This window comes from Homo sapiens, chromosome 19 (assembly GCF_000001405.40).
Source record: "Homo sapiens chromosome 19, GRCh38.p14 Primary Assembly".
Classification (NCBI taxonomy): Eukaryota; Metazoa; Chordata; class Mammalia; order Primates; family Hominidae; genus Homo; species Homo sapiens.
This window is the reverse complement of record NC_000019.10, coordinates 49,429,260-49,453,097: the sequence shown is the minus strand read 5'-3', so window position 1 is coordinate 49,453,097 and position 23,838 is coordinate 49,429,260. Positions and strand designations below refer to the sequence as shown.

The 23,838-nt window shown below is 56.9% G+C and overlaps 2 protein-coding genes across 5 annotated transcripts, besides 8 other annotated features; both read left to right on the top strand.

Moving 5' to 3' along the window:
* Positions 978 to 1,656: an enhancer, noted in NCBI's record as "H3K27ac-H3K4me1 hESC enhancer chr19:49954699-49955377 (GRCh37/hg19 assembly coordinates)". NCBI's record gives its function as "activates a minimal SCP1, AML or CMV promoter by ChIP-STARR-seq in naive H9 embryonic stem cells {active_cell/tissue: H9 hESC(naive)}" and the evidence as "EXISTENCE:reporter gene assay evidence [ECO:0000049][PMID:30033119]".
* Positions 1,014 to 1,063: an enhancer, noted in NCBI's record as "active region_14940". NCBI's record gives its function as "activates an Ori minimal core promoter by ATAC-STARR-seq in GM12878 lymphoblastoid cells {active_cell/tissue: GM12878}" and the evidence as "EXISTENCE:reporter gene assay evidence [ECO:0000049][PMID:35858748]".
* Positions 1,074 to 1,353: an enhancer, noted in NCBI's record as "active region_14939". NCBI's record gives its function as "activates an Ori minimal core promoter by ATAC-STARR-seq in GM12878 lymphoblastoid cells {active_cell/tissue: GM12878}" and the evidence as "EXISTENCE:reporter gene assay evidence [ECO:0000049][PMID:35858748]".
* Positions 1,284 to 6,800, top strand: PIH1D1 (PIH1 domain containing 1). 4 transcript variants are annotated; one of them, NM_017916.3, is made up of 9 exons: positions 1,284 to 1,613; positions 2,250 to 2,316; positions 3,444 to 3,623; positions 5,036 to 5,097; positions 5,190 to 5,271; positions 5,631 to 5,760; positions 5,999 to 6,074; positions 6,404 to 6,547; positions 6,675 to 6,800. In NM_017916.3, exons 1-9 carry the CDS (start codon positions 1,524 to 1,526, stop codon positions 6,714 to 6,716), a joined length of 873 nt encoding a protein of 290 aa, NP_060386.1. In that variant the 5' UTR covers positions 1,284 to 1,523; the 3' UTR covers positions 6,717 to 6,800. The 4 variants fall into 4 exon arrangements, with proteins under 4 accessions (NP_060386.1, XP_047294980.1, XP_047294981.1 ...); XM_047439024.1 differs by lacking the exon at positions 6,675 to 6,800 and having other exon boundaries at positions 6,304 to 6,442; XM_047439025.1 differs by lacking the exons at positions 5,999 to 6,074; positions 6,404 to 6,547; positions 6,675 to 6,800 and having other exon boundaries at positions 2,159 to 2,316; positions 5,631 to 5,668.
* Positions 5,391 to 5,480: a silencer, noted in NCBI's record as "silent region_10915". NCBI's record gives its function as "represses an Ori minimal core promoter by ATAC-STARR-seq in GM12878 lymphoblastoid cells {active_cell/tissue: GM12878}" and the evidence as "EXISTENCE:reporter gene assay evidence [ECO:0000049][PMID:35858748]".
* Positions 9,168 to 9,277: an enhancer, noted in NCBI's record as "active region_14938". NCBI's record gives its function as "activates an Ori minimal core promoter by ATAC-STARR-seq in GM12878 lymphoblastoid cells {active_cell/tissue: GM12878}" and the evidence as "EXISTENCE:reporter gene assay evidence [ECO:0000049][PMID:35858748]".
* SLC17A7 (solute carrier family 17 member 7) lies at positions 11,571 to 23,697 on the top strand. Its single transcript, NM_020309.4, has 12 exons — positions 11,571 to 11,780; positions 16,297 to 16,549; positions 17,812 to 17,930; positions 18,216 to 18,330; positions 18,409 to 18,496; positions 19,052 to 19,138; positions 19,230 to 19,372; positions 20,138 to 20,287; positions 20,447 to 20,579; positions 21,650 to 21,760; positions 21,956 to 22,083; positions 22,286 to 23,697. The coding sequence occupies exons 1-12, from the start codon at positions 11,719 to 11,721 to the stop codon at positions 22,577 to 22,579; spliced, it is 1,683 nt and encodes a 560-aa protein (NP_064705.1). The 5' UTR covers positions 11,571 to 11,718; the 3' UTR covers positions 22,580 to 23,697.
* Positions 19,922 to 20,493: an enhancer, noted in NCBI's record as "H3K27ac-H3K4me1 hESC enhancer chr19:49935862-49936433 (GRCh37/hg19 assembly coordinates)". NCBI's record gives its function as "activates a minimal SCP1, AML or CMV promoter by ChIP-STARR-seq in naive H9 embryonic stem cells {active_cell/tissue: H9 hESC(naive)}" and the evidence as "EXISTENCE:reporter gene assay evidence [ECO:0000049][PMID:30033119]".
* Positions 20,494 to 21,066: an enhancer, noted in NCBI's record as "H3K27ac-H3K4me1 hESC enhancer chr19:49935289-49935861 (GRCh37/hg19 assembly coordinates)". NCBI's record gives its function as "activates a minimal SCP1, AML or CMV promoter by ChIP-STARR-seq in naive H9 embryonic stem cells {active_cell/tissue: H9 hESC(naive)}" and the evidence as "EXISTENCE:reporter gene assay evidence [ECO:0000049][PMID:30033119]".
* Positions 21,592 to 21,886: a silencer, noted in NCBI's record as "tiled region #4016; K562 Repressive DNase matched - State 1:Tss". NCBI's record gives its function as "represses a minimal TATA promoter and a strong SV40 promoter by Sharpr-MPRA in K562 cells {active_cell/tissue: K562}" and the evidence as "EXISTENCE:reporter gene assay evidence [ECO:0000049][PMID:27701403]".
* Positions 23,698 to 23,838: the final 141 nt, after the last annotated feature.

The following is a 23,838-nucleotide window of genomic DNA, read 5'->3' as shown; positions in this document are numbered from 1 at the left end:
CGGGGAGGAAGGGGAGACGGCGATGTGGGTACTTTGCGAATAGTTAGGAGGGCTCCGGATTTATGAGGATCGGCGTGGCCGGGCACGATGGCTCTTGGCTGTAATCCCAGCACTTCGGGAGGCCGAGGCGGGCGGATCACCTAAGGTCGGGAGTTCGAGACCAGCCTGACCAATTTGGTGAAACCCCGTCTCTACTAAAAATACAAGCATTAGCCGAGCTGTGGTGGTGCGCGCCTGTAATCTCAGCTACTCAAGAGGCTGAGGCGGGAGAATCACTTGAACCCAGAAGGTGTACGTTTCAGTGAGCCGAGATCGCGCCACTGCACTCCAGCCTGGGTGGCAAAGGGAGACTGTGTCTAAAAAAAAAATAGTAATAAAAAAAAAGGGTCGTCCTATTGATGCGTCTTCCCAGTGCCTTGTTTTATAGTAGCAGGAAGTGCAGGTTTTGTTTTACCTTTTATTTTCTTGAGACAGGGTCTCCCTCTGTCGCCCAGGGCTGGAGTGCAGTGGTCCGATCACGGCTTACTGTCGCCTCGACTTTTCAGGTTTAAACATTACTCCTGCGTCAGCCTGCACAGTAGCTGGGACTACAGGCAGGTGCCATCAAGCCTGGCTAATTTTTTTTTTTTTTTTTTTTTTGGTAGAGACAGGATCTTGCTATGTTGCTCAGGCTGGTCTCGAACTCCTGGGCTCAAGCGATCCTCCTACCTCGGCCTCCCAGCCTCAAAGTGCAGCTTTTCTAATTATATTGACTAGAGGTCTAGATCTAGATCTAGACCTGGCGGGTCTAGATCTGGACGTATTAGGATCTAGAGCTGGCAGGAAGTGATAATTCAAAGATAAAAAGGGTACCTTTTAGGATGGACATTGAGATTAAGGTTTGGAAAATGCAACCTTCACTGCAAAGTAAGGGGGCCAGTTTTGGTTGTGGAAAGAGTGGAAGTCTGGCGCTTTTTTTTTTTTTTTAAGAGATGGGGTGTGGGACGTTATCTCATTGTATTGCCCAAGCTGGTTTCGAACTCCTGGCCTCAAGCGATCCTCTTGCCCTGGCCTTCCAAAGTGCTGGGACTACCGGTAGGAGCCACAGCGCCCAGCCGGAAGTGTGGCTTTCATAGATACAGGAAGTGTGGCACTCAGGGATCCGCCTTGGGGTTTATTTTTGATTGATGCGAGGGGCGTGGCTTGTCGATAACGCGATACCAGCTTGTGAATGAACACTGGGGTACTCGGAAGTGTGGCATACTCCAGTCCTGTGTTTACCGATAGACCGGAAGTGTGGCTTCGTTTACAGTTCGGCACGTAGGACGGAGGGTAGTGCGTCTAGAGACACATATTCCCCACGGATTTGACGATGGTGTTCGGTCTTGAATGGAAATGTAGTCTTAGGCCAGTCTTAGGTTTTTGAACAGGATAGTAGGTATCCGGAGTCGATTGAGGGCCAGAGCAGGCACTGGGGTTCGGATCCTGGGCAAAGTTTCCCACGTTGAGGGTCTCGAGGACGCCTAGATCTCTTTCCCAGGGCCATGGCGAACCCGAAGCTGCTGGGAATGGGGCTAAGCGAGGCGGAGGCGATCGGTGCTGATTCGGCGCGATTTGAGGAGCTGCTGCTGCAGGTGCAGTGACCGGACCCCTGGATCCTTGAGTATTCGGGGATTTTGGCGGGGTGCTCAAAGATGGGACTGCAGTTCCCAGAATGCACTAAGGCGGGAACCAGGCCTCGGGGAATTGAGGTTAATGGGCTTCAAGTTTGCTAAGAAATGGGAGTGGGGGGCCGGGCGCGGTGGCTCACACCTGTAATCCCACCACTTTGGGAGGCCGAGGCGGGCGGATCACGAGGTCAGGAGATCGAGACCATCCTGGCTAACACGGTGAAACCCCGTCTCTACTAAAAATACAAAAAATTAGCCGGGCGTGGTGGCGGGCACCTGTAGTCCTAGCTACTGGAGAGGCTGAGGCAGGAGAATGGCGTGAACCCGGGAGGCGAAGCTTGCAATGAGCCGAGACCTCGGCACTGCACTCCAGCCTGGGCGACAGAGTGAGACTCCGTCTCCAAAAAAAAAAAAAAAAAAAAAGAAATGGGAATGGGGTTGGGGTTGTTCTTCTAGTTCTCAAAGGAGAAAGGGGACCTAAACCGTCTAATTTCTCGCGTTATCCACAGCTCTCATGCATAAGAATTGCTCCATTTGAGGAACAAATGAGGGGTCTGATGGCACAGACTCCGAGCCTGGAGGTAGTTTTCCTTTATACAGGCCTCGAAGGAGCTCCAGCAAGCCCAGACAACCAGACCAGAATCGACACAAATCCAGCCTCAGCCTGGTGAGAAAGGACACCGGAGAGAGAGGGACAGGAGACCCAGGGAGAGGACAGAGAGAGGAGGAAGGAAAGAGACACGAAAATAAAGGCCTAGGGTGGGGGTGGGGTGAGCAGACACCCACAGAGATCATCCTAGGACAGAAAGGAGTTGGAGGACAGAGTAGGAGTAGGTAGGGGGCCAGAGAATCAGAGATAGGAAGAGGCCAGGTGCGGTGGCACGTGCCTGTAGTCCCAGCTACTGGGGAGGCTGAGACAGGAGAATTGCTGGAACCCAAGAGGCAGAAGTTGCAGTGGGTGGAGATCGCACCACTGTACTGCAGCCTGGGTGACAGAGCGAGACTCTGTCTCAAAAACAAAACGAAACAAACAACAACAACAAAGATAGGAAGAGAGGCTGGGCACAGTGGCTCACATCTGTAATTCCATCACTTTGGGAGGCCGAGGTGGAAGGATTGCTTGAGGCCAGGCATTCAAGACCAGCCTGTGCAACATAGTGAGACCTCATCTCTACTAAAAATAAACAAAATTAGCTGGACTTGGTGGGTGCGTGCCTGTAGTCATAGCTACTCACGAGGCTGAGGTGGGAGGCTCACTTGAGCCAGGTGGAAGAGACTGCGGTGAGCCAAGATCGTACCACTGCACTCCAACCTGGGTGACACAGTGAGACCCTGTCTCAAAAAACAAACAAGGAGAAAACAAAGAAGAGAGGGGGCCGGGAGCCCAGCACTTTGGGAGGCCAAGGCGGGAGGATCACCTGAGGGCAGGAGTTTGAGATCAGCCTGGCCAACATGGTGAAACTCCATCTCTACTAAAAATACGAAAATTAGCCGGGCGTGGTGGTGGGCGCCTATAATCCCAGCTACTTGGGAGGCTGAGGCATGAGAATTGCTTGAACCTGGGAGGTGGAGGTTGCAGTGAGCCGAGATCACGCCACTGCACTCCAGCCTGGGTGACAGAGTGAGAGTCTGTCTCAAAAAAAAAAAAAAAAAAGAGAAGTGAGGGATCTCGGGTGGGGAGTGGAACAAAAAAGGGGGACAGGGCAAAAGGAAAAGAGACAGAGCCTGGAGACAATGGATGGGGACTGGGACTTGTGCAGAAAAGGATTGTCATGACTAACCCACTCCCACCAGGTTTCTGCATAAAGACCAACTCCTCGGAAGGGAAGGTTTTCATCAACATCTGCCACTCCCCCTCTATCCCTCCTCCCGCCGACGTGACCGAGGAGGAGCTGCTTCAGATGCTAGAGGAGGACCAAGCTGGGTTTCGCATCCCCATGAGTCTGGGAGAGCCTCATGCAGAACTGGATGCAAGTCAGTGCCCTCAGAGGACCCAGGAGTCTGGCCCGCTAGGCCCCTTCTTCCCTAGAACCCAAGAATCCTGGGCCCAGGACCCTCCTCCCTCAGCTCCTGGAGATCTGGCCCCTCGATCTGATTCTTTTCCCTATGGTAGATCTCTAGTGCCCTGGACATCCCACACCCGGGCAGTCCTGGTTCTGCCACCTGGCCAGGCTGGCACTTTTCCATGCCCCACTCCAGGGCCGGGAGGCCTGGGCAGAGTGCTCTTCGTGCATTAGCGGATCTCCTGGCTTTAGTCCTGAGCCTGCTGTCTCCTTCTTTTTTCTTTCTTTCTTTTTTTTTTTCTTGTGATGGAGTTTCGCTCTTGTTGCCCAGGTTCAGACGATTCTCCTGTCTCAGGCTCCCAAGCAGCTGGGATTACAGGTGTGCTCCACCACACCCAGCTAATTTTTGTATTTTTAATAGAGACGGGGTTTCGCCACGTTGGCCTGGCTGGTCTCAGACTCCTGACCTCAGGTGATCCACCGCCTCAGCCTCCGAAAGTGCTGGGATTACAGGTGTGAGCCACTGCACCCAGCCTGCGGCTCTCTCTTTCATCCTGTTTTCTCCTCTGCCCTTCTCCCTTTCTCCATCTCTGTCTTGCCTCACCTCTGTCCCTGTTTCTGCCTCTATATCCTTTTTTCAATATGTCTCTTGAAGCTTTCTGGGACCAAGCTCTAGGCAGTGCCCCGGGGAATAAGGACCTATGAAATGCACATTCCACGTTCCAGAAACTCGCTGTCATGGGTGGGGCTCAAGGAGATGGATGCAGTATCAATAGGGTGTGATTCACGCTGCTTTGGAGGGGGGCACCCAGCACAGCCTTGAGAGGGCTCGTCACCCACATGAAGGGGTCAGGGAAGGCTTCCTGGAGGAGGGGGTGTGGGATAAGATTTGAAGGAACAGGAGGAGTTCAGCAGGCAGACAGAAGAAGGTTCTAGGTAGAGCGGCCCAGAGCTGGGAGAGAATGATTGGATTGGATCAGCCAGTAATGGAGAGTGACTGAAAGAAATTCAGTGGGCCGAGGTTGCTAGAAGAATGAGGTCTTCTCCAGAGGTGGGAGGGGCAGACCACATAGGGTCTCCAACGCCAGGCTTGTGGGGCTCAGACCTTCACTTGGGAGCACTGGGGAGCCAGAGAAGAGCTGTGAGCAGGGAAGGGATAGGGTCAACTCTAGTGACATCACACTGATGGACAGGAGATAAGAGGCCAGGGAGGAGGCTGGGCGGAGAGTCCAGAGCGGAAAGTGAGTGCCCAGCTCTCACTTCCTTATGTCTCTCTCTGCTTCTTACGGCCGCTGTCCCTGAATGTTTCTTCCCTGTCTGGGTCTGGGCTGTGGGCTTCCTGCAGAGGGCTGGGGGGTCCTCACCCCCTTTTTCTCCCCGCAGAAGGCCAGGGATGTACCGCCTACGACGTAGCTGTCAACAGCGACTTCTACCGGAGGATGCAGGTTGGGGGCGGGGCTGCGGTTGAGGCCTGGGCAGGGGTCTCTACCCCTACCCTCCCCGCCACCGCCTGTCTTTTCCCTCTCTGTCACCCCAGAACAGCGATTTCTTGCGGGAGCTCGTGATCACCATCGCCAGGGAGGGCCTTGAGGACAAATACAACTTGCAGCTGAATCCGGGTGAGGGGCAGGTCCTGGGCCCTCGGGAAAGAGTGGAGCCAGGAGCGGTTTGGGGAACACCCCTAGGAGAGGAGGGGCTGGCTTGGGCAGGGTGCCCTGGAGTCTGTGCTACTAGGAGGGGGTGGAGTCTGGACGCCCTGAGGGGGCGGGGCCAGGAACATCTCCAGGGGTGGGTTTTATTGGGGCATATCATGGGAGGGGCGTGACTAAGGTGGGCGGGCTTCCTGGAGCCAAGCCTGCGGGGTGTGGTCAGACCCCAAGAGTCCTGGTGAGCCGGTGGAGCCTATCCCGGGAGGCTCTTGGCCCCCACAAAGGGAACCCTGACCTGTACGATGTTTGACGGCGCTCCTGACCCTCAGAATGGCGCATGATGAAGAACCGGCCATTCATGGGCTCCATCTCGCAGCAGAACATCCGCTCGGAGCAGCGTCCTCGGATCCAGGAGCTGGGGGACCTGTACACGCCCGCCCCCGGGAGAGCTGAGTCAGGGTGGGCCTTCGGTAGATCCCCGGTCTGATGTTTCCTCAACGCTCTTGGGAATCCCTCCCTCCATCCTCCCACACTGGGTGATGTCCTGGGGCCCTGGGCACTGAGAGAGGGAGGAGAGAGAACTCCTGACTGGGAAGGCGTCCTGAGGCCAATAGGGCTGGTTGGAGGGAGAAAAGGGACAGCACGCCAGGCAAAGACCTGGCAGCTGTGCTCAGCCCTGGACCTTGTTCCTCCTCAGGCCTGAAAAGCCTCACCTGAACCTGTGGCTGGAAGCCCCCGACCTCCTCTTGGCCGAAGTTGACCTCCCCAAACTGGTGAGTTTTGCGCGCTGGACCAGAGCAGGGGAATGAGGTCTGGAAAGGTCAGGGACTGTCTCTGAGTGTGAGTGACAAGGGGTTGTTGCTGGACTTGTCAGTTGCGTCCTCTCTGCCAGGAGGCCCACAGGCCACCTTCTGGTGCTGTCCTGAGGGCGCCCAAGGGATTGTAAGTGCTCGGTCGTTGAGACTTGTAATTGCTGTCTTCTGTCTCTTCCTGGGAGATTAGACCCTTCAAATATAGTTTCCCAGCGTGTGAGGCTACCATGCCTGGTCCAGGTGATCATCCTGTTGCTGGGGAGGGTGACCTGATTCCGCCACCTCTCCAGGATGGAGCCCTGGGGCTGTCGCTGGAGATCGGGGAGAACCGCCTGGTGATGGGGGGCCCCCAGCAGCTGTATCATCTAGACGCTTATATCCCGCTGCAGATCAACTCTCATGAGAGCAAGGCAGCCTTCCACCGGAAGAGAAAGGTGCCTGGGGGAGGGGCTTGGGGAAGCTGGGACATTGGCGGGGCCTGGACTCTGTCTCCCAGGGAGGGGGGCTGGGAGCTGGACTTCTGGGTCCTGGATCCTCATTCTCTTTGCTCTGTCTCCTCAGCAATTAATGGTGGCCATGCCGCTTCTGCCGGTGCCTTCTTGATCAGGGTGTCTCCTTGTGCTTCTGAGATGTGGAGAAGAGGCTGCTGGCTTCCCTAAAAGTTGAAATAAAAGATTTTTGCCTTTGTTCTGTCTCTGACTGGGGATATGTGGGTGTTGGGAGGGAAGAGGGACATTGGGCTGTGCCCCTCCAGTCCTATAGAGGTCACTGCCCCAGCTCAGGCCTCATCCTTCCCCCTGGATCCTCCCTGAAGCCTCCTGGCCTCCAGTCTCCCTTGTTAATCCTCCCCAGGCCCCAGAGCTGGCCCTGCACTTTCCTTCTTCACAGCCCTCCTGTGGCTCCCCAGCCGCCCTGGGAGAAGGTCCAAGCCCCTCAGCCAAGCACTCAAGGCTCTGTGTGATCTGAGCCCCGGGTCATGGCTCACTTTTATGTTTAAGAGACAGGGTTGTCAGGCACGGTGGTTCACACCTGTAATCCCAGCACTTTGGGAGGCCGAGCTGGGTGGATCACCTGAGGTCAGGAGTTCAAGACTAGCCTGGCCGACATGGTGAAACCCGGTCTCTACTAAAAATACAAAAATTAGCTGGGCATGGTGGCGCAAACCTGTAATCCCAGCTACTCGGGAGGCTGAGGCGGAGGTTGCAGTGAGCCGAGATCGTGCCATTGCACTCCAGTCTGGGCTACAAGAGCGAAACTCCGTCTCAAAAAAAAAAAAAAAAAAAGGATCTCACTCTGTCACTGGAGTGCAGTGGTGCAATCATGTAGCTCACTGCAGCCTGGAACTCCTGGGTTCGAGTGATCCTCCCACATCAGCCTCTGAGTAGCTAGGATGACAGGCATGCACCATTGTGCCCAGCTAATTTTATTTTTTGCATTTTTTTAGAGATGAGGTCTTGCTATGTTGCCCAGGTTGGTCTTGAGTTCTTGGCCTCAAGTGATCCTCCCACCATGGCCTCCCCAAATACTGGGATTACAGGCGTGAGCCACTGTGCCCAGCCTAGTTTTGACCTCTTCCTCTAACTGGAGCCCAGTCATACTGAACAGTGTCCTGACCACACCCATTTTCCCTCATCTCTTAGTTTCTGCTGTTCCTGCTACTTTGTATCCTCTTCCCAGTACATCTGCAGAAGTTTCTTTCTTTATTCTTTCTTTCTTTTCCTTCCTTCCTTCCTTCCTTTCTCTCTCTCTTTCTTTCTTTCTTTTTTTTTTTGACAGAGTCTGGCTCTTAGGCCCACGCTGGAGTGCAGTGGTGCAATCCTGACTCACTCTGCAACCTCCCGAGTTCAAGTGATGGTTGCACCTCAGCCTCCCAAGTAGCTGTGACTACAGGTGCCACCATGCCCAGCTAATTTTTAAATATTTTTTATAGAGACGGGGTCTCCATCTGTTGCCCAGGCTGGTCTCGAACTCCTGAGCTCAAGTGATCAGCCCTCCTCAGCCTCTCAAAGTGCTGGGATTACAGGAGCGCCCTGCCTTGATAAATATTTCTTGAGTTAATAAGTGATTGTTGAGGCCGGGCACAGTGGCTCACACCTGTAGTCCCAGAACTTTGGGAGGCCAAGGCGGGCGGATCACCCAAGGTCGGGAGTTTGAGACCAGCCTGACCAACATGGAGAAACCCCGTCTCTTACTAAAAATACAAAATTAGCCTGGCGTGGTGGCAAGCGCCTATAATCCCAGCTACTAGGGAGGCTGAGGCAGGAGAATTGCTTGAACCCAGGAGGCGGAGGTTGCTGTGAGCCCAGATGGCGCCATTGCACTCCAGCCTGGGCAACAAGAACGAAACTCCATCTCAAAAAAAAAAAAAAAAAAAAAAAAGTGATGGTCTATACCCTCCTCTTCTTTAGTGAATCCTAGGATCATCAGTAGATGGAGGAACTTCAGTGGTAAATGCTCAAAGCACAATGTGAGTTAGTGGGGCATGGTGGTGCACACCTGTTGTCCTCAGCTACTCGGGAGGCTGAGGTGGGAGCCCAGGGAGGTTAAGACTGCAGTGAGCTGCCCCTGGGCGACAGAGTGAGACCCTGTCTCAAAAAGGAAGGAAGGGAGGAAGGAAAGGAGGAAGGAAGGAAAGAAGGAAGAAAGAAGGAAAAAGAAGAGAAAGAAAAAGGAAGGAGGAAGGGGAAAGGAAGGAAGACAGAGAAAGAAGGAATGAAGGAAGGAAAGAAAAAAGAAGAGAAAGAAAAAGGAAGGAGGAAGGGGAAAGGAAGGAAGACAGAGAAAGAAGGAATGAAGGAAGGAAAGAAAAAAAGAAAAAGGAAGGAGGAAGGGGAAAGGAAGGAAGACAGAGAAAGAAGGAATGAAGGAAGGAAAGAAAAAAGAAGAGAAAGAAGAGGAAGGAAGGAAAGAAAAGGCAGGCAGGCAAGCACAATGTGTCTGCAATGGGGTGAATTGTGAGGGAGGGGGAGAAAAGACGGGGAAGAGGTCAGGGTGGGAGTGACTTCAGGTAGGGTCTTTCCGGCCGCGGAACGGATGAGCGAACGTGGGCGCCGTGTCCACCAGAGGGCGCAACCTTTCCCTGCCCATCGTCTCAGAGAACTACATCTCCCAGCGGCCCTCGGAGTGCGCGGCCCTTCTCAAACGAGCGCTGAGGCTCAGAGGCCGCTGGGACTTGTGGTTGGGACGGTGAGCCGCTGGAGGGGGCCGAGTAACTCATTCCCAGGTCCTGAAAAAGTGTGCGGCTGAGTCCTTTCCTCCTTCCTCGGTTTCCATGGCGATGGTTTCGGCAAAGGCCCAAGTTTTGGCAGCGGCGGGGCCCGCTTCCCACTCCCTCCTCTTCACCATCTGCTCCACCCTCACACCTGGCCCCAAGCCGCAACCACCGCCTCCGCACCCGGGCCGGGGACTCTGCAGCCACTGGGTGGCGCGTGTGAGCGGCTCCCGCGCTGCTACTTCAGCCCCACGAGTCCCAGTTCCTACCTCCCTCCTGCCTCAGACCCGCAGCGTCCTCCGTTCTGGGGTCCCAGGGGTTTCTCAAAGCTGTGAGACCCAGAGACACAGCCAGTCAAGGCTGGAAGCGAGAGGCTGCGGCGGTCAGTGGCTTCCCGGCCACCCCGTCCTTGGCGCCCGCCCGACGCGCCGTCTGCTCCTCCCACCCCACCGCGGGCCGCATCATGAAAATTTAATACCAAATGCATTTGCGGCCCGACGCGGGGAGGTAGTGGGGAAAGGATCACCCTCCTGGGGCCTGGATCTGGAGGTGGACTCAGCGCCGGGAGATGGGCTGGTCTGAGGACAGGAGCGGGGCGGGACCCTGTCTGCGGGCCCAGGACAGGGAAGGGCCGGGCTCTACCCAACGGGGCGGCGCTGGAATTCCGGCGTGGAGACAGAGTTCGGTGGGCGGGGACAGATTCCGGGGGTGGGAGCAGGACTGGGAGGGCAGGGACAGATCCCAGAGGCGGAGGCGGTGGGCGGGGGACAGATCCCATGGGGCAGGGGCAAGACTGGGAGGGCGGGGACAGATCTCAGGGGCGGAGGCCAGAGCTCGGTGGGCGGGGTCAGATTCCGGGGGCGGAGGCAGGACTGGGAGGTCGAGGACAGATCCCAGTGGCGAGGGTCAGAAGTCGGAGGGCGGGGACAGATCCCATGGGGCCGGGGCAAGACTGGGAGGGTAGGGAGAGATCCAGGGGGCGGGGAGAACTGGGTGGGCGGGGACAGATCCCATGGGGCAGGGGTAGAACACAGAGGGCGGGGACAGATCCCAGGGACGGAGGCCAGAACTCGGTGGGTGGGGACAGATTCCAGGGGGCAGAGATAGATCCTGTGGGGAAGGGGTAGAACTCAGATGGCAGGAACAGATTCCAGGGGGCAAGGACAGAACTGAGAGGGCGGGAACAGAGCCAGGGACAGATCCTAGGAGAAGGGGACACAACTCCAACGGTGGGGAGAGAACTCAGAGGGCGGGGGCAGAACTCAGGTCAGCGACAGATCCTAGGGGAGGAGACAAATTCAGAGGGCGGGTGAGGATGCCAGGGGGTGCGGATCACAATTTAGGGGGCGGGACAGATCTCAGGGGGTGGAGACAGAACTCAAATAGAGGAATGGATCCCCCGGAGCTAGGGAAGAACTCAGAGCGCGGACAGATCCCAGAGGAGCAGAGAAATAACACAATGGGGAGACTATGGGGTCGCAGCTGGCACTGGCGGGGTGTGTGAAATATAACTGTGGGGGGCGGAAGCCAGAGGGAAGAAAATCGGGGTTAGGGAATGAAACTCAGGGAGAGAAGCAACAGGGAGGAGAGAGACGCCGGAGGGAGAATAGAGCTGGAGGAGTATGGGATTCAAAGGGGAAAGATGGAAACTAAGGAGGAGATGGAGCTCAAGGGTGAAGAACCCGGGTGGCGAAAGGGACTAGAGGGGGACGACAGGTGGATCGAAGTAGGCGTTGGACTTGAGGGGAAAGAATTTCCCTTGAATGAGAAAACAAAGAACTCCCTGGATGAGACTATTGGAACTGGGGACGAGGTGGGATGGGGATGGAATTGCGGGGTGGGGGCGGGGAGGAGTGAAGGAACTGGAGGATGAACGCAGAGGGAAAGTCAGAGAAGACAGGATTGTAAGGGACGCAATTAGGGGGAACAGAAGTCGGGGAGAGAAATGATGGGGATGAGAACTCAGGAGAGGAGAGAAAATCTGGGTAGGAGCCAGGGGTGATGGAACAGGGATAGGGGGAGTAGCCTGGGGAAGGAACAGAATTGGGGGGCGTGAACTCGGAGGCGTGAGTTCAGAACCCACAGGCGTGGTCTTGGAAGGCTCAGGAGGGGACAGGACGAGGATGAAAGGGCTGCGAGAGGGGGCGGGTCTGACAGACGAGGGGAGGGGCCTGGTGGGGCCGGGGCGGGGCCTCCCGCGCCCCGCCCCCGGCGCTGAGTCCTGTGACAGCCCCCGGGCCGCCTGCACTTGCAGCCTCCTTCCCCCCGAGCGGAGCTGCGGGGCCGGCCGGGCCGGGGCTGGACCCCGGGAACCCGGACGCGGCCGCCCGGGCCCGCGGGCGGGGGGATCGGCGGGGGGGACCCGCGGGGTGACCGGCGGCAGGAGCCGCCACCATGGAGTTCCGCCAGGAGGAGTTTCGGAAGCTAGCGGGTCGTGCTCTCGGGAAGCTGCACCGGTGAGCCTGGCGGGGGTCCCGGGAGAAGAGTGGGAGGATCTGAGGAGGATGCTAATTCCCACCTGGGCGCAGACTGACAGATGAACGGGCGATACCCCGGCATGGGGGTCCACCCATCTGTCCAGTTTTCTGCCGTGGGCTCCGACGGCGCTGTTCTCCCTGGTCGAGCCTTGTCCATTATCCTGTTCCTTTTTCTGCACCCCACCCCACCCGGCTCCACTCTCTCTGGTGCTGTAAATGCCTCTCTCCCGGGTCTCTGGCTCCTCCCCCACCACTTCTGGGTCTCTGTCCCCGTCTCTTTCTGGATGTCTCTGCCCCTTTTCTCTCTGGGTCTCCGTCTCCCTCTTTTTCCAGATCTCGGCTCCCTTCTCTCTGGGCCCCTCCTTCTCCCTAGATCTCTGCCTCCGCTTCTTTGCGTCTCTGTGCCCCTCTCTCTGGTTCTCTGGCCATTGCTCTCACTGGATCTCTATCAACTCCTGACTCAGAGTCTCTGTCCCCCTCTTTCTGGGTCTCTCCTCTTCCCTGGATCTCTGGTCCCCACTTCTCTGGGTCCCTGTCCCCGTCTCTGTGTTTTAATTCTCCCACCATGGGTCTCTCCGTCTCTCTGTGTCTTTTTCCGTTTCTGTCTGGCATGGAGTTTAATCTGCAGCTAAAGCGGATTGGGGCTCATAGCCCGTTGTCCTTGAGGGGGTGAGGCTGGGTGGAAGAAGTCACAGCACCCTGGGTCCCTGGGAGAGAAAGGAGTTAGAGGCCAAAAATTTCGGCTCCTGGGGTAGGACAGCCTTCCCAAAGGATACAGGCTGGGGCTGACAGGGACTCCCTCCCAACCAGGTTGATGACCCCAGTGAACCGAGTGTCCCTCAGGATAATCTGGACACCTCCCCACAGGCTCTCACCCCCAACCCCAGCTTTGGCTCTAAGTCAGATAAATTACTCAGCTGCGGAAAAGCCTAAAAATATATCTGGCCACAGTGCACGAAGGAGATGGCCTCATCAGCACCATGCCCCTGCCGCCGTGCCCTCAGGCCCTGTCCCCTTGGCCCACAGCCCTGACCCTGTGTTTCGCTGAGCTTCAGTCCACCTCGCTAGGCCATGGGGGTCCTTTGCTAAGTCTAACATCAGTCTTGCTTGCTGCAGATCACCTCTTAGCTCCAAAGTTACCCCACCCTCTAGTAACATGAGAGACAAGAATAAGGCTGGACAGAAGTGGGGGGAGGTGGGCAGGAGGATGGTGCAGTGACGGAGGTTGGTGGTGGAGGGGAAGCTGAGATAACCTCACCCCTTCTTTTTCCAATTTTCCAGCCCCTCCCCACCCTTTTTCTCGCCTCCTTTCACGAGTTTCTCAAAATACATCAGTGTGAAGTCAGGAGAATGAGAGAGAGAGAAAGAGACGTGCTGGTGGAGGGGGCTGGGGGGTGGCAGCGGGAGGGATGTATTCCTCAGGCCCCTCCCTCAGTCTCTGCCTCTGTTTCTCATCTGTGCTAGGGTTTCTCACAGTCAATCTCTCTGGCTCTCACTCTCTGAGTTACCTCTTGGGTCCCCAGAGACCCCCGGGCTCTGGCCAGGACCATCAGCAGGGAGTTTGTGCAGAGAAAAGCATTTGCTTCCAATGCCTGGGGTTTGCTCTGATGGTTGGAGGGAGAGGGGAATACCCCATATTAGAGACAACAGGTTGATCTCATTTAATCCTCTAGACAAAGATGGGGAAACTGAGGCTCCATTCTGGGGTTGGGGAGATCAGTGGATGAGTATGAGCCCCATGATTTGAACCCAGGTCAGTCTCCCTCCCAAGCCTAGAACAGAGCTCTTCCTTGAGAAGAGTGATGCCACAGCTGGTGGGGAGCTTCCTTGCACCCAGGGTGACTTGGAACAAGGACATGGGGGAATGGGATGCCAGAGAGATGAGAACCCAAGGTGCCTCCTTTCTGAGAGCCAGGTCTTGGGCAGGGGGATGCCGAGGGCCAGTAAGGGATCAGGTCCCATTGCTGTTCTTGTCTGTGACCTTGGAGTGCCACTTCAGCTCCCCGAGCCTCAGTTTCCTTAGTTGTACAATGGGAAGAGAAGAGAGAGCAGAGGGACATAAGGAGACAAAGACGTGGGGGAGTGGACAGAGATCCTGAGAGAAGCAGAGAGAGAGAGAGGGAGAGACAGAGAAGTTGAGACATCTCAATTTGGGGTAATGGCCTCCTAAGTGTTGTTTTTCCTCATCGCCAAGTCCCCAGGCCTGAGTTTGGGGTATCCAGGGAGGGGAGGGGGATTTACATCTAGGGTCTCCCTTCTCTGTCCTTGTCCCCTGCAAAGCATCAGGGCCACCTTCATCTCTGTGTCCTTGGTCCTCTTGCTCTAAAATGATTGATATCACCTTGAAGTTCCCTCTTTATTCTCTTGCATTTTTGCCCTTGTCCCATTTTATAGATGTGGGATACTGAGACCCCCTGTTTAGACAGCCTTGATTAGAGATCTGACATCTCCTCATATTAACAAGGAATCTCACATCAGGGGCTGCAATCACATCTTGAGTTTCAGGGTCAAATATCATCCGATGTCAACCTGGGTCAGTCTAATCTCTTTGGGTGATGGGTTCTGATGGGTGGGGGGAGTTACTGCCATCCTGTACTATTCGTCCTAGTGGCTTCAATCCCCCCTATCTCTGGCTCTCTGTCTTCTTCCTCTTGGGGTCTCATTCCTACTCCTTCTGGGTTCTGTCCACTCCCTGGCTTCTCCCACCCCTGTTTCTTAACTGCCCCTCCCCACCTCCTTAAGTTCTAGGATGGGGAGGGGTTGCTGTGTTCTCACAGCTCTTCCACCTCCCTCCCCCTGGACCGTCTGGCTGTTCCTTCCTCCCCCGTCCCAGTCTCCCTCGCCTCCATCTGTTCCAGCCCCTTCCTGGGATCCAGCCCGATCCCCTGGCTGCCTACCCACCTCAGAGAGGGGCTGCACCTCACAAATCACGTCCCCAGCCTGTCTATCCTCCGTCTCCCAGGCTCTCCATCTTTCTCTTGCATTCTGGATCTCTGTTCTCATCTCTCTGCATCTATGTTCTATCTCCTGGGTTTCTGTCCCCGCCTCTCTTTGGGACTCTGTCTGCTTCCTTCTCTAGGTTTCCATCTCTTCCCTCTCTGGGTCTCTGTCCCCCTATTTCTAGGTCTCTCTCCCCCTCTCTCTGGGTCTCTGTCTCCCTCTCTCTGGGTCTCTGTCATCCTCTGTGTCTCTGACCCCTCCATCTCTGGGTCTCTGTCCCCCTCTCTATCTGGGTCTCTGTTCCTCTCTCTCTGGGTCTCTGTCTCCCTTTCTCTCTGGGTCTCTGTCCCCCTCTTTCTGGGTCTCTGGCCCGCTATGTCTCTGGGTCTCTGTCCCGCTGTATCTCTGGGTCTCTGTCCCCCTCTCTCTCTGGGTCTCTGCTCCCCTGTTATTCTCTCTCCCTCTCTCTGGGTCTCTGTCCCCCTCTCTATCTGGGTCTCTGTTCCTCTCTCTCTGGGTCTCTGTCTCCCTTTCTCTCTGGGTCTCTGTCCCCCTCTTTCTGGGTCTCTGTCCCACTATGTCTCTGGGTCTCTGTCCCCCTGTATCTCTGGGTCTCTGTCCCCTTCTCTCTCTGGGTCTCTGCTCCCTTGTTATTCTCTCTCCCTCTCTCTGGGTCTCTGTCTCTTCCTCTCTAGATCTCTGTCCCCCTTTCACTGGATCTCTCTCCCTTCTTCTGTCTGTGACCCCCTCTCTCTGGGCCTCTGTACAACTCCCCCCATCTCTGTCACCCTCTTTTTGGGTCTTTCTCCACCTGTCTGAAGGCACCTCTCTCTCTCTGCAGCCTCTCTCTGGGTTTGAGGCAGCCCTCCAAATACCCTCTTCGTCATCACAGACTTGATTCTGGATCCAGAACGGGCGGGGGCGAGAGTCACGCTGGGGAATGAGCCAATCCCCCTACCAGGGCCATCTGTCCCCTGCCAGGACACCACCCGCCACTCCCCCTCCCTACCCCCTAGGCTGGCAGCCTGGACTCAAGGTTCCCTAGGGATGCCTGGGACGGGCTGCTGGATTCCCAGGGTCCTGGACATCTCCCCACCCCCTAGCAAACGTGGCTGAGAAGCATCTGTTCTTTTGACACCTTTGCTGAAGCATCTCCTTAGCACCTTTTGCTTCCTCGAATAGACTCTTATCCGGGAGAGGCGGCTGGAGAGTCTTTGGGCCTCGGAGTGGGGGCACAGGCTCTTGAATCCCAAAGGGTTGTCTGGGGTCTAAGTCTCCTGAGTTGAAGGATTTGACAGAGCTGGGAGAGGGGGACTGAAGACCGTCAATGTGAAGAAGGAGGGGGCTGGGGGCCTGAATTCCCGGTCTGAGGGAGATGGAGGATTTCTGGATCAGGGGGGCGAAGGGAGCCAGGGACCTGGACTCTTGGTGAAGGAGGAGGTGCGGGCTTAGAATTCTGGATGTTGAAAAGCAGGTTTTGCCCTGGATCCTGGTCTTGGGGGTGAGGGGGCTGGGGGCCTGGACTTCCGAGTCTCTGGCTCTTGCTGTCCCGCAGCCTTCTGGAGAAGCGGCAGGAAGGCGCGGAGACGCTGGAGCTGAGTGCGGATGGGCGCCCGGTGACCACGCAGACCCGGGACCCGCCGGTGGTGGACTGCACCTGCTTCGGCCTCCCTCGCCGCTACATTATCGCCATCATGAGTGGTCTGGGCTTCTGCATCAGCTTTGGCATCCGCTGCAACCTGGGCGTGGCCATCGTCTCCATGGTCAATAACAGCACGACCCACCGCGGGGGCCACGTGGTGGTGCAGGTAGCTCAAGGCCTGAGCCCTTGCAGAGCCCCGCCCCGCTCACCGAGCTCCGCCTACGCCCCCATGACGTCACACTCACCCACCAGACGTCCAGGCCACGCCCCTTCCGAAACGCTGTCGGAATAGCTCCGCCCAATCCGTGCGCCCCTTAGTTCTGACCTCGCCTTAGGGGCCGCCTCCGTTTCCTAAGCCCCGTCCTGATCTAAATGAAGTCCCGCCCTTATTTCCAGGGGCTTGATTGAAAAATGTAGAGTCCGCCCCAACATCAGGTTCCCTAGGGGTTGCCCCTGCCCCATTTTGGACCTACTAGCAATTTTGCTCACGCCTGTACCCCAAGCTCATGTCCCCGGGTCACATCTATTTAATCTCAGTCCCATCTCAGGTTCCTCCCTGAATGTGATCCTTTTTTGAAACCCTGCCACTGCCTACGTCCCACTGCATGTGTTGTGTCCCTTATCTAAAGACCCACAGGGTCTCCCAGGCTACGGTGCAGTGGGGCCATTGCTCTGTCGCCCAAGCTGGAGTGCAGTGGCACCATCACTGCAGCCTCGAACTCCTGGGCTCAAGTGACTCTCCTGCCTCAGCCTTCTGAGCAGCTGGGACTACAGGCGTGCGCCGGCATACCCAGCTAACATTTTTATTTTTATCTTTGTAGAGACAAGGTCTCACTATGTTGCCCAGGCTGGTCTCGGACTCCTGGGCTCAAGCGATCCTCCTGCCTTGGCCTCCCAGTCCTGGGAGTACAGGCGTGAGCCACCGTGCCCTGTCCTTTCTCCTATTTTAATTTCAGCATAGGCCTTGCCCCTGCATCAGAAAAGAGTCCTGATTTGTGCCTTTGTCCTACCTGAAGTTCCTCCCCTTGCTCCCTTCCAATCTGGTCCGCCCCCTTGGCTGCTTCGTGTCCCCGCCTGGACCCTGTGCAGGTCACTCCGCAAACGCTCATAAGCTGGATATAAGTGGAGAGAGTCATCATCATACATGGGCCCCTAGGCTTTCATGGAGGCAAGGAAGCAGGCAAAGCAAGGCGTCTAGGTGGTGATGGACTCTGTTGTTAAGGCAGCATAGGCCCTAGCAACGTGGAAGAGCGGAGTTTGTAGACTTTAATTGACAGAAAGATAGTGTGAGCTTTGATTGGCAGGCTTTTGGAGGTGGGAGGGGTTCCTCGTTGCTGATAGGTCGAGACGCTAAGTCTGTGGGTGCTGATTGGTGGAGCGGCAGAGCCTGGACAGGGCGGCTGATTTAATGTACATTTTGGCCCGCAGAAAGCCCAGTTCAGCTGGGATCCAGAGACTGTCGGCCTCATACACGGCTCCTTTTTCTGGGGCTACATTGTCACTCAGATTCCAGGAGGATTTATCTGTCAAAAATTTGCAGCCAACAGGTACAGTGGTGGGGTCTCAAAGTGGGCGGTAACTACAGTTGTGTGGGTGGAGTTAGAGGGCGTGGTCTTGAATTTGCGGGCTGGCTCTGGTAAATGGGAGAAGCCTGGATTTGGGGGTGGGTCTTAGAGAAAGGTGGGGCTTGCGATTGAGGAAGGTGTAAGTCAGAGAGGTGGTGGGACCTGGGGTCCCGGGGACCACTGGGCCTAGCTTGCTGTGGGCGGGAAAGGCAGAATCCCGGGCATGGCTGGATAGCTTGGATTCTTTTCTCTGACCCTTCCCATCAGAGTTTTCGGCTTTGCTATTGTGGCAACATCCACTCTAAACATGCTGATCCCCTCAGCTGCCCGCGTCCACTATGGCTGTGTCATCTTCGTGAGGATCCTGCAGGGGTTGGTAGAGGTAAATCCCCGCCTGATATGACCCTGCCCTCGCTCGGACCCTGCCTCTTCTCAGTGACCTTGGTTTTCTCCTCTTTAGGGGGTCACATACCCCGCCTGCCATGGGATCTGGAGCAAATGGGCCCCACCCTTAGAACGGAGTCGCCTGGCGACGACAGCCTTTTGTGGTGAGAGGAAGAGGGATCCTCACTCCTGAATCTGAGGGAGGAGGGGTTGGGGCCTGGACTGTTGGGTCTGAGCGGGGAGGGGCTGGGGGGGCTGAACTCCTGTGTCTGAGGGAGGAGGAGGAGACTCTGGACCTGGACTCCCAGGTCTGAGGGAAGAGGGGCTGGGGCTGGACTCCTGGGTCTGAGAGAGGAGGGGCTGGGGGCCTGGACTCTTGGGTCTGAGGGAGGAGGGACTGGAGGCCCGCACTCCTGGGTCTGAGAGGAGGAGCTGGGGGCCTGCACTCCTGTGTCTGAGAGAGGAGGGGTTGGGCCTGGACTCCTGGGTCTGAGGGAGGAGGAGCTGGGGGCCTGGACTCCTGGGTCTGGGGGAGGAGGAGCTGGGGGCCTGGATTCCTGGGTCCGAGCGAGGAGGGGCTAGGCCTGGATTCCTGGGTCTAAGGGAGGAGGGGCTGTGGCCTGTAATTCAGTGTCTGGAAAGGGGGAAGCGGTGGGGGTCCGCACTCCTTGATCTGAGGGAAGATGGGCCTGTTCTCTCCCCCGCATCCTCCCCCTTAGGTTCCTATGCTGGGGCGGTGGTCGCGATGCCCCTCGCCGGGGTCCTTGTGCAGTACTCAGGATGGAGCTCTGTTTTCTACGTCTACGGTGAGGGACCCGGATGCCTGGTTCCGGGTGGCGCTGGGGCGGAGCGGGGCCGGTCCTCACCTCGCTCCCATCCCCCTCCTGACCCCCCCAGGCAGCTTCGGGATCTTCTGGTACCTGTTCTGGCTGCTCGTCTCCTACGAGTCCCCCGCGCTGCACCCCAGCATCTCGGAGGAGGAGCGCAAGTACATCGAGGACGCCATCGGAGAGAGCGCGAAACTCATGAACCCCCTCACGGTCCGGGACCAAATCTTCGGGGAAGGGGCGGGGAGAGATAGCAAGCCACGAACCTGCACAGCGTGTAGATCAGGGACGGTTCCTGCAGACTCTAGAGGAGACGGGACTGGAACGCAAAGAGAGGGGCTAGAACCTAGGAGGCGGGTTGCAACCCGCGGAGGACGAGATTCTCAGGTGCTGGGGGCAGGGTTAGGTCGGGAGTTGAGCAGGATTAGAACCACTGACAGGGCATAGTTAAAGCCAGCAGAGAAGGGATTAGAATGTGGGGGTTTTGCTTAGACCTTGAGTTGAGGCTGTATTTTGGGAGCATTTTTGATAAAAAGAGACTCCTAGGGCAGGCTCAGTGGCTTCCGCCTGCAATCCCAACACTTTGGGGGTGGAGGCTGCAGGATCGCTTGAGCCCAGGAGTTCCAGACCAGCTTGGGCAACATGGCGAAACCCCCGTCTCTACTCAAAATACAAAATACAAAAAGTAAAAATAAAAAGAAAAAAAGAAAAAGACAGGTCCCTGAGGGGCCCGGACACCTGCGGACCTGAGAGGCTACCATAGGGCCAGGACCCCTTCATCACTCAAGTGTCACCTTGAGGCTAGGATCCCTGGGTCCCCACGGCAACATGGTGTAGCCCGCGCCTTTGGGTCCATAGAAGTTTCAGTGCGGTCGGGATCCTTTGGTTTCTGCAGAACTACACTGTGGTCCCTGAAGGGACGCGGAGAAGCCCTCAGCCCCGCTCCCCGTCTTAGCGGCCCTCCCCTCGCCCCCACAGAAGTTTAGCACTCCCTGGCGGCGCTTCTTCACGTCTATGCCAGTCTATGCCATCATCGTGGCCAACTTCTGCCGCAGCTGGACGTTCTACCTGCTGCTCATCTCCCAGCCCGCCTACTTCGAAGAAGTGTTCGGCTTCGAGATCAGCAAGGTAGAGCCCAGGAGGAGAGGGCAGGGGGGCGCGGAGGGGTCGGCGGGAGGGAACTGGCGGCGATCCCGAGGCAGGGAGGAGCCGGTGGTGCACGGACCGGGCAGAGACGCCGAGCCGGCGGCCCCGAACCCTAGTGTCCCTGTACACCTGTTCCCGCAGGTAGGCCTGGTGTCCGCGCTGCCCCACCTGGTCATGACCATCATCGTGCCCATCGGCGGCCAGATCGCGGACTTCCTGCGGAGCCGCCGCATCATGTCCACCACCAACGTGCGCAAGTTGATGAACTGCGGAGGTGAGTGGGGCGGGGCCTGGGCCGGCTCTAGGACAGCCTGGGTGGAGCAGAGCCGGATTGAGAGGTGATGGGGAGTGGTTACAGGCGGAAACCATCCAGCCTGCCCCAGGAGTCCCTTTCTATGCAAAGGGCCGTGGCCAACAGGGTGGAGCCGGGGCAGGGCAGGCCTGGATGAAAGGGACTGTCACGCGGCCGTCCAAGGGGCCACCGCGCGGAAGGGCAGGGTGGGCGAGACTTCCCGGGTGGAGCAGAGAGAAGACCGAGTTGGGCCTGGAGGGACAAGACCTGCACAAAGTTGGGTGTGGTAGGACATGAACTAGGTGATGAAGAGGCGCTAAGAGCAAGGCACCTGGAGAGACAGGGTCCTAGGGGGCCTGCTGTCTAACAAGTGAGATTTGCTAGGCGTGGTGGCGCGCGCCTGTGGTCCCATCTACTTGGGAGGCTGAGAAGGGAGGATCGCTGGAGCCCAGAACTGCGAGGCCGCAGTGAGCTATGATCGCGCCGCAGCACTCCAGCCTGGGCGACAGAGCGAGACTTTGTTTCTAGAAAAATTAAAATTACAATTAAAAATTAAAAAACAGGCAGGGCATGGTGGCTAACCCCTGTTATCCCAGCACTTTCGGAGGCGAAGGCCGGTGGATCACTTGAGCTCAGGAGTTTGAGACCAGCCTGGGCAACGTCGTGAGACTTTGTCTCTTAAAAAAAATAAAAAATCAAAAATTAAAAAAAAAAAAAACCAAAAACTCATGAGTGGGGATTGAGGGGAAGGTGTGAGCGTGCACAGCAGGGATCCTGCGTGTTCGGGGAGTGGCCTAGTCAAGGGGTGGAGCTACGGGAGGGGCGATGGAGCTGGTGGGCGTGGTCAGGGCTGGGTCTTGGAGAAGTAGGGGCCTGGTTAGGGTGGGTGCGGGTGGCGTGGAGGGCGCGAAGAGGCCTGGGCGTGGAGGTGGCCAGACTGGGGTGGATAGACGCGGTTTGGGGCTGGAGCAGGTCTGGAAGGGCGGTGTGGGGCAGCCTGCGCCTTGCTCCGGCCGACACTCAGGAGACGCGGGCCCCCCCCGCCCCCGTAGGCTTCGGCATGGAAGCCACGCTGCTGTTGGTGGTCGGCTACTCGCACTCCAAGGGCGTGGCCATCTCCTTCCTGGTCCTAGCCGTGGGCTTCAGCGGCTTCGCCATCTCTGGTGAGAACCGCGGATCCGCAGCTTGGGGGACTCTGGTCAGCTCTGTAGGGAACTTCCTGGCTCAGGAACGGGGCCTCTCAGCCTCACAAAAGGTGGAACATGAGTGGCGGGGAGGGGAGAGGGTTGAGAACGTCCCAGTGGGAATCACTCGAGTGAGATTCCGGTGTGACGCCTTCCGACTTGTCTCTCCGCCAGGGTTCAACGTGAACCACCTGGACATAGCCCCGCGCTACGCCAGCATCCTCATGGGCATCTCCAACGGCGTGGGCACACTGTCGGGCATGGTGTGCCCCATCATCGTGGGGGCCATGACTAAGCACAAGGTGGGTGCCGCAGTCCTGACTCAGTCTGCCTCCAAGTGTGTGCTTCGTACCTAACTGACCACGTGGTGGCACTGTCTCTGGGGTGCCATCCCTGCCTTTTCAGCCTCCCTGGGTCTCTGCCTCCCTTCCTCTAGGCCTCCCCCTCTCTCCGCCTCTGTTTCTCTGTCCTCCCATTTGACCTCAGCCCTATTGTCCCCTGCAGACTCGGGAGGAGTGGCAGTACGTGTTCCTAATTGCCTCCCTGGTGCACTATGGAGGTGTCATCTTCTACGGGGTCTTTGCTTCTGGAGAGAAGCAGCCGTGGGCAGAGCCTGAGGAGATGAGCGAGGAGAAGTGTGGCTTCGTTGGCCATGACCAGCTGGCTGGCAGTGACGACAGCGAAATGGAGGATGAGGCTGAGCCCCCGGGGGCACCCCCTGCACCCCCGCCCTCCTATGGGGCCACACACAGCACATTTCAGCCCCCCAGGCCCCCACCCCCTGTCCGGGACTACTGACCATGTGCCTCCCACTGAATGGCAGTTTCCAGGACCTCCATTCCACTCATCTCTGGCCTGAGTGACAGTGTCAAGGAACCCTGCTCCTCTCTGTCCTGCCTCAGGCCTAAGAAGCACTCTCCCTTGTTCCCAGTGCTGTCAAATCCTCTTTCCTTCCCAATTGCCTCTCAGGGGTAGTGAAGCTGCAGACTGACAGTTTCAAGGATACCCAAATTCCCCTAAAGGTTCCCTCTCCACCCGTTCTGCCTCAGTGGTTTCAAATCTCTCCTTTCAGGGCTTTATTTGAATGGACAGTTCGACCTCTTACTCTCTCTTGTGGTTTTGAGGCACCCACACCCCCCGCTTTCCTTTATCTCCAGGGACTCTCAGGCTAACCTTTGAGATCACTCAGCTCCCATCTCCTTTCAGAAAAATTCAAGGTCCTCCTCTAGAAGTTTCAAATCTCTCCCAACTCTGTTCTGCATCTTCCAGATTGGTTTAACCAATTACTCGTCCCCGCCATTCCAGGGATTGATTCTCACCAGCGTTTCTGATGGAAAATGGCGGTTTCAAGTCCCCGATTCCGTGCCCACTTCACATCTCCCCTACCAGCAGATTCTGCGAAAGCACCAAATTTCTCAAGACCCTCTTCTCCCTAGCTTAGCATAATGTCTGGGGAAACAACCAAAATCGCAATTTTAACAATATGCCTCTCTACCCCCGTGCACTTTTTCTGACATGGTTTTCAGGTCTAAATAGTGGCTGCTCCAGTCCATGAACTCAAAGGTTTGAAGCTACCACCATTGAACTCCCCCATGGTGGTTTCATGATGCCCCCTCCCCAATTCCTCGCACTTTATTCTCCTGGGTGGTTTCGAACTACCCTGTTTCTCAGTGGCCATTTGTTGTGTCCCTCAGGGGCTTAATGACTCAAAATCTGGGATCCTTCCCCTCTCAGACACCCCTCTTTCAGCTTAGAATTTGGGGAACCTATAGAGAAGTCACAGAATCCCATGAAAGGGAATGGGGCAGGAGCCAGGGGTGTTTTTTCCCAGTGCAGGGTTGTGTCTTTGTGTCTCTGTCTCTGTGACTGTAAATCCTGCCCTGCCCCACTCCCAATAAAAGCTTTGGTGTATAGGCTCAGTTGTTCTTGGCTGTGGAGGTCACAGGCATCCTGGTCCCCAGCCCCGTCCTCCCTCAGACCGAGGAGTTCAGGCCCCTAGCTCCTCCTTCCTCAGTTCCAGGGATCCAGGCCCCAGCCCCTCCTCCCTCAGACCCAGG

What these genes read in the sequence shown, in the direction of transcription:
- PIH1D1 (NM_017916.3), top strand. Translation starts at nt 1,524, where the DNA reads ATGGCGAACCCGAAGCTGCTGGGAATGGGGCTAAGCGAGGCGGAGGCG. An exon ending in ACAAATCCAGCCTCAGCCTG is followed by an intron (nt 2,317 to 3,443) that starts GTGAGAAAGGAC and finishes CACTCCCACCAG; the next exon opens with GTTTCTGCATAAAGACCAAC. An exon ending in CCTTCCACCGGAAGAGAAAG is followed by an intron (nt 6,548 to 6,674) that starts GTGCCTGGGGGA and finishes CTGTCTCCTCAG; the next exon opens with CAATTAATGGTGGCCATGCC.
- SLC17A7 (NM_020309.4), top strand. Translation starts at nt 11,719, where the DNA reads ATGGAGTTCCGCCAGGAGGAGTTTCGGAAGCTAGCGGGTCGTGCTCTC. An exon ending in TCCTGCAGGGGTTGGTAGAG is followed by an intron (nt 18,331 to 18,408) that starts GTAAATCCCCGC and finishes TCTCCTCTTTAG; the next exon opens with GGGGTCACATACCCCGCCTG. An exon ending in TCGGCTTCGAGATCAGCAAG is followed by an intron (nt 20,288 to 20,446) that starts GTAGAGCCCAGG and finishes CTGTTCCCGCAG; the next exon opens with GTAGGCCTGGTGTCCGCGCT.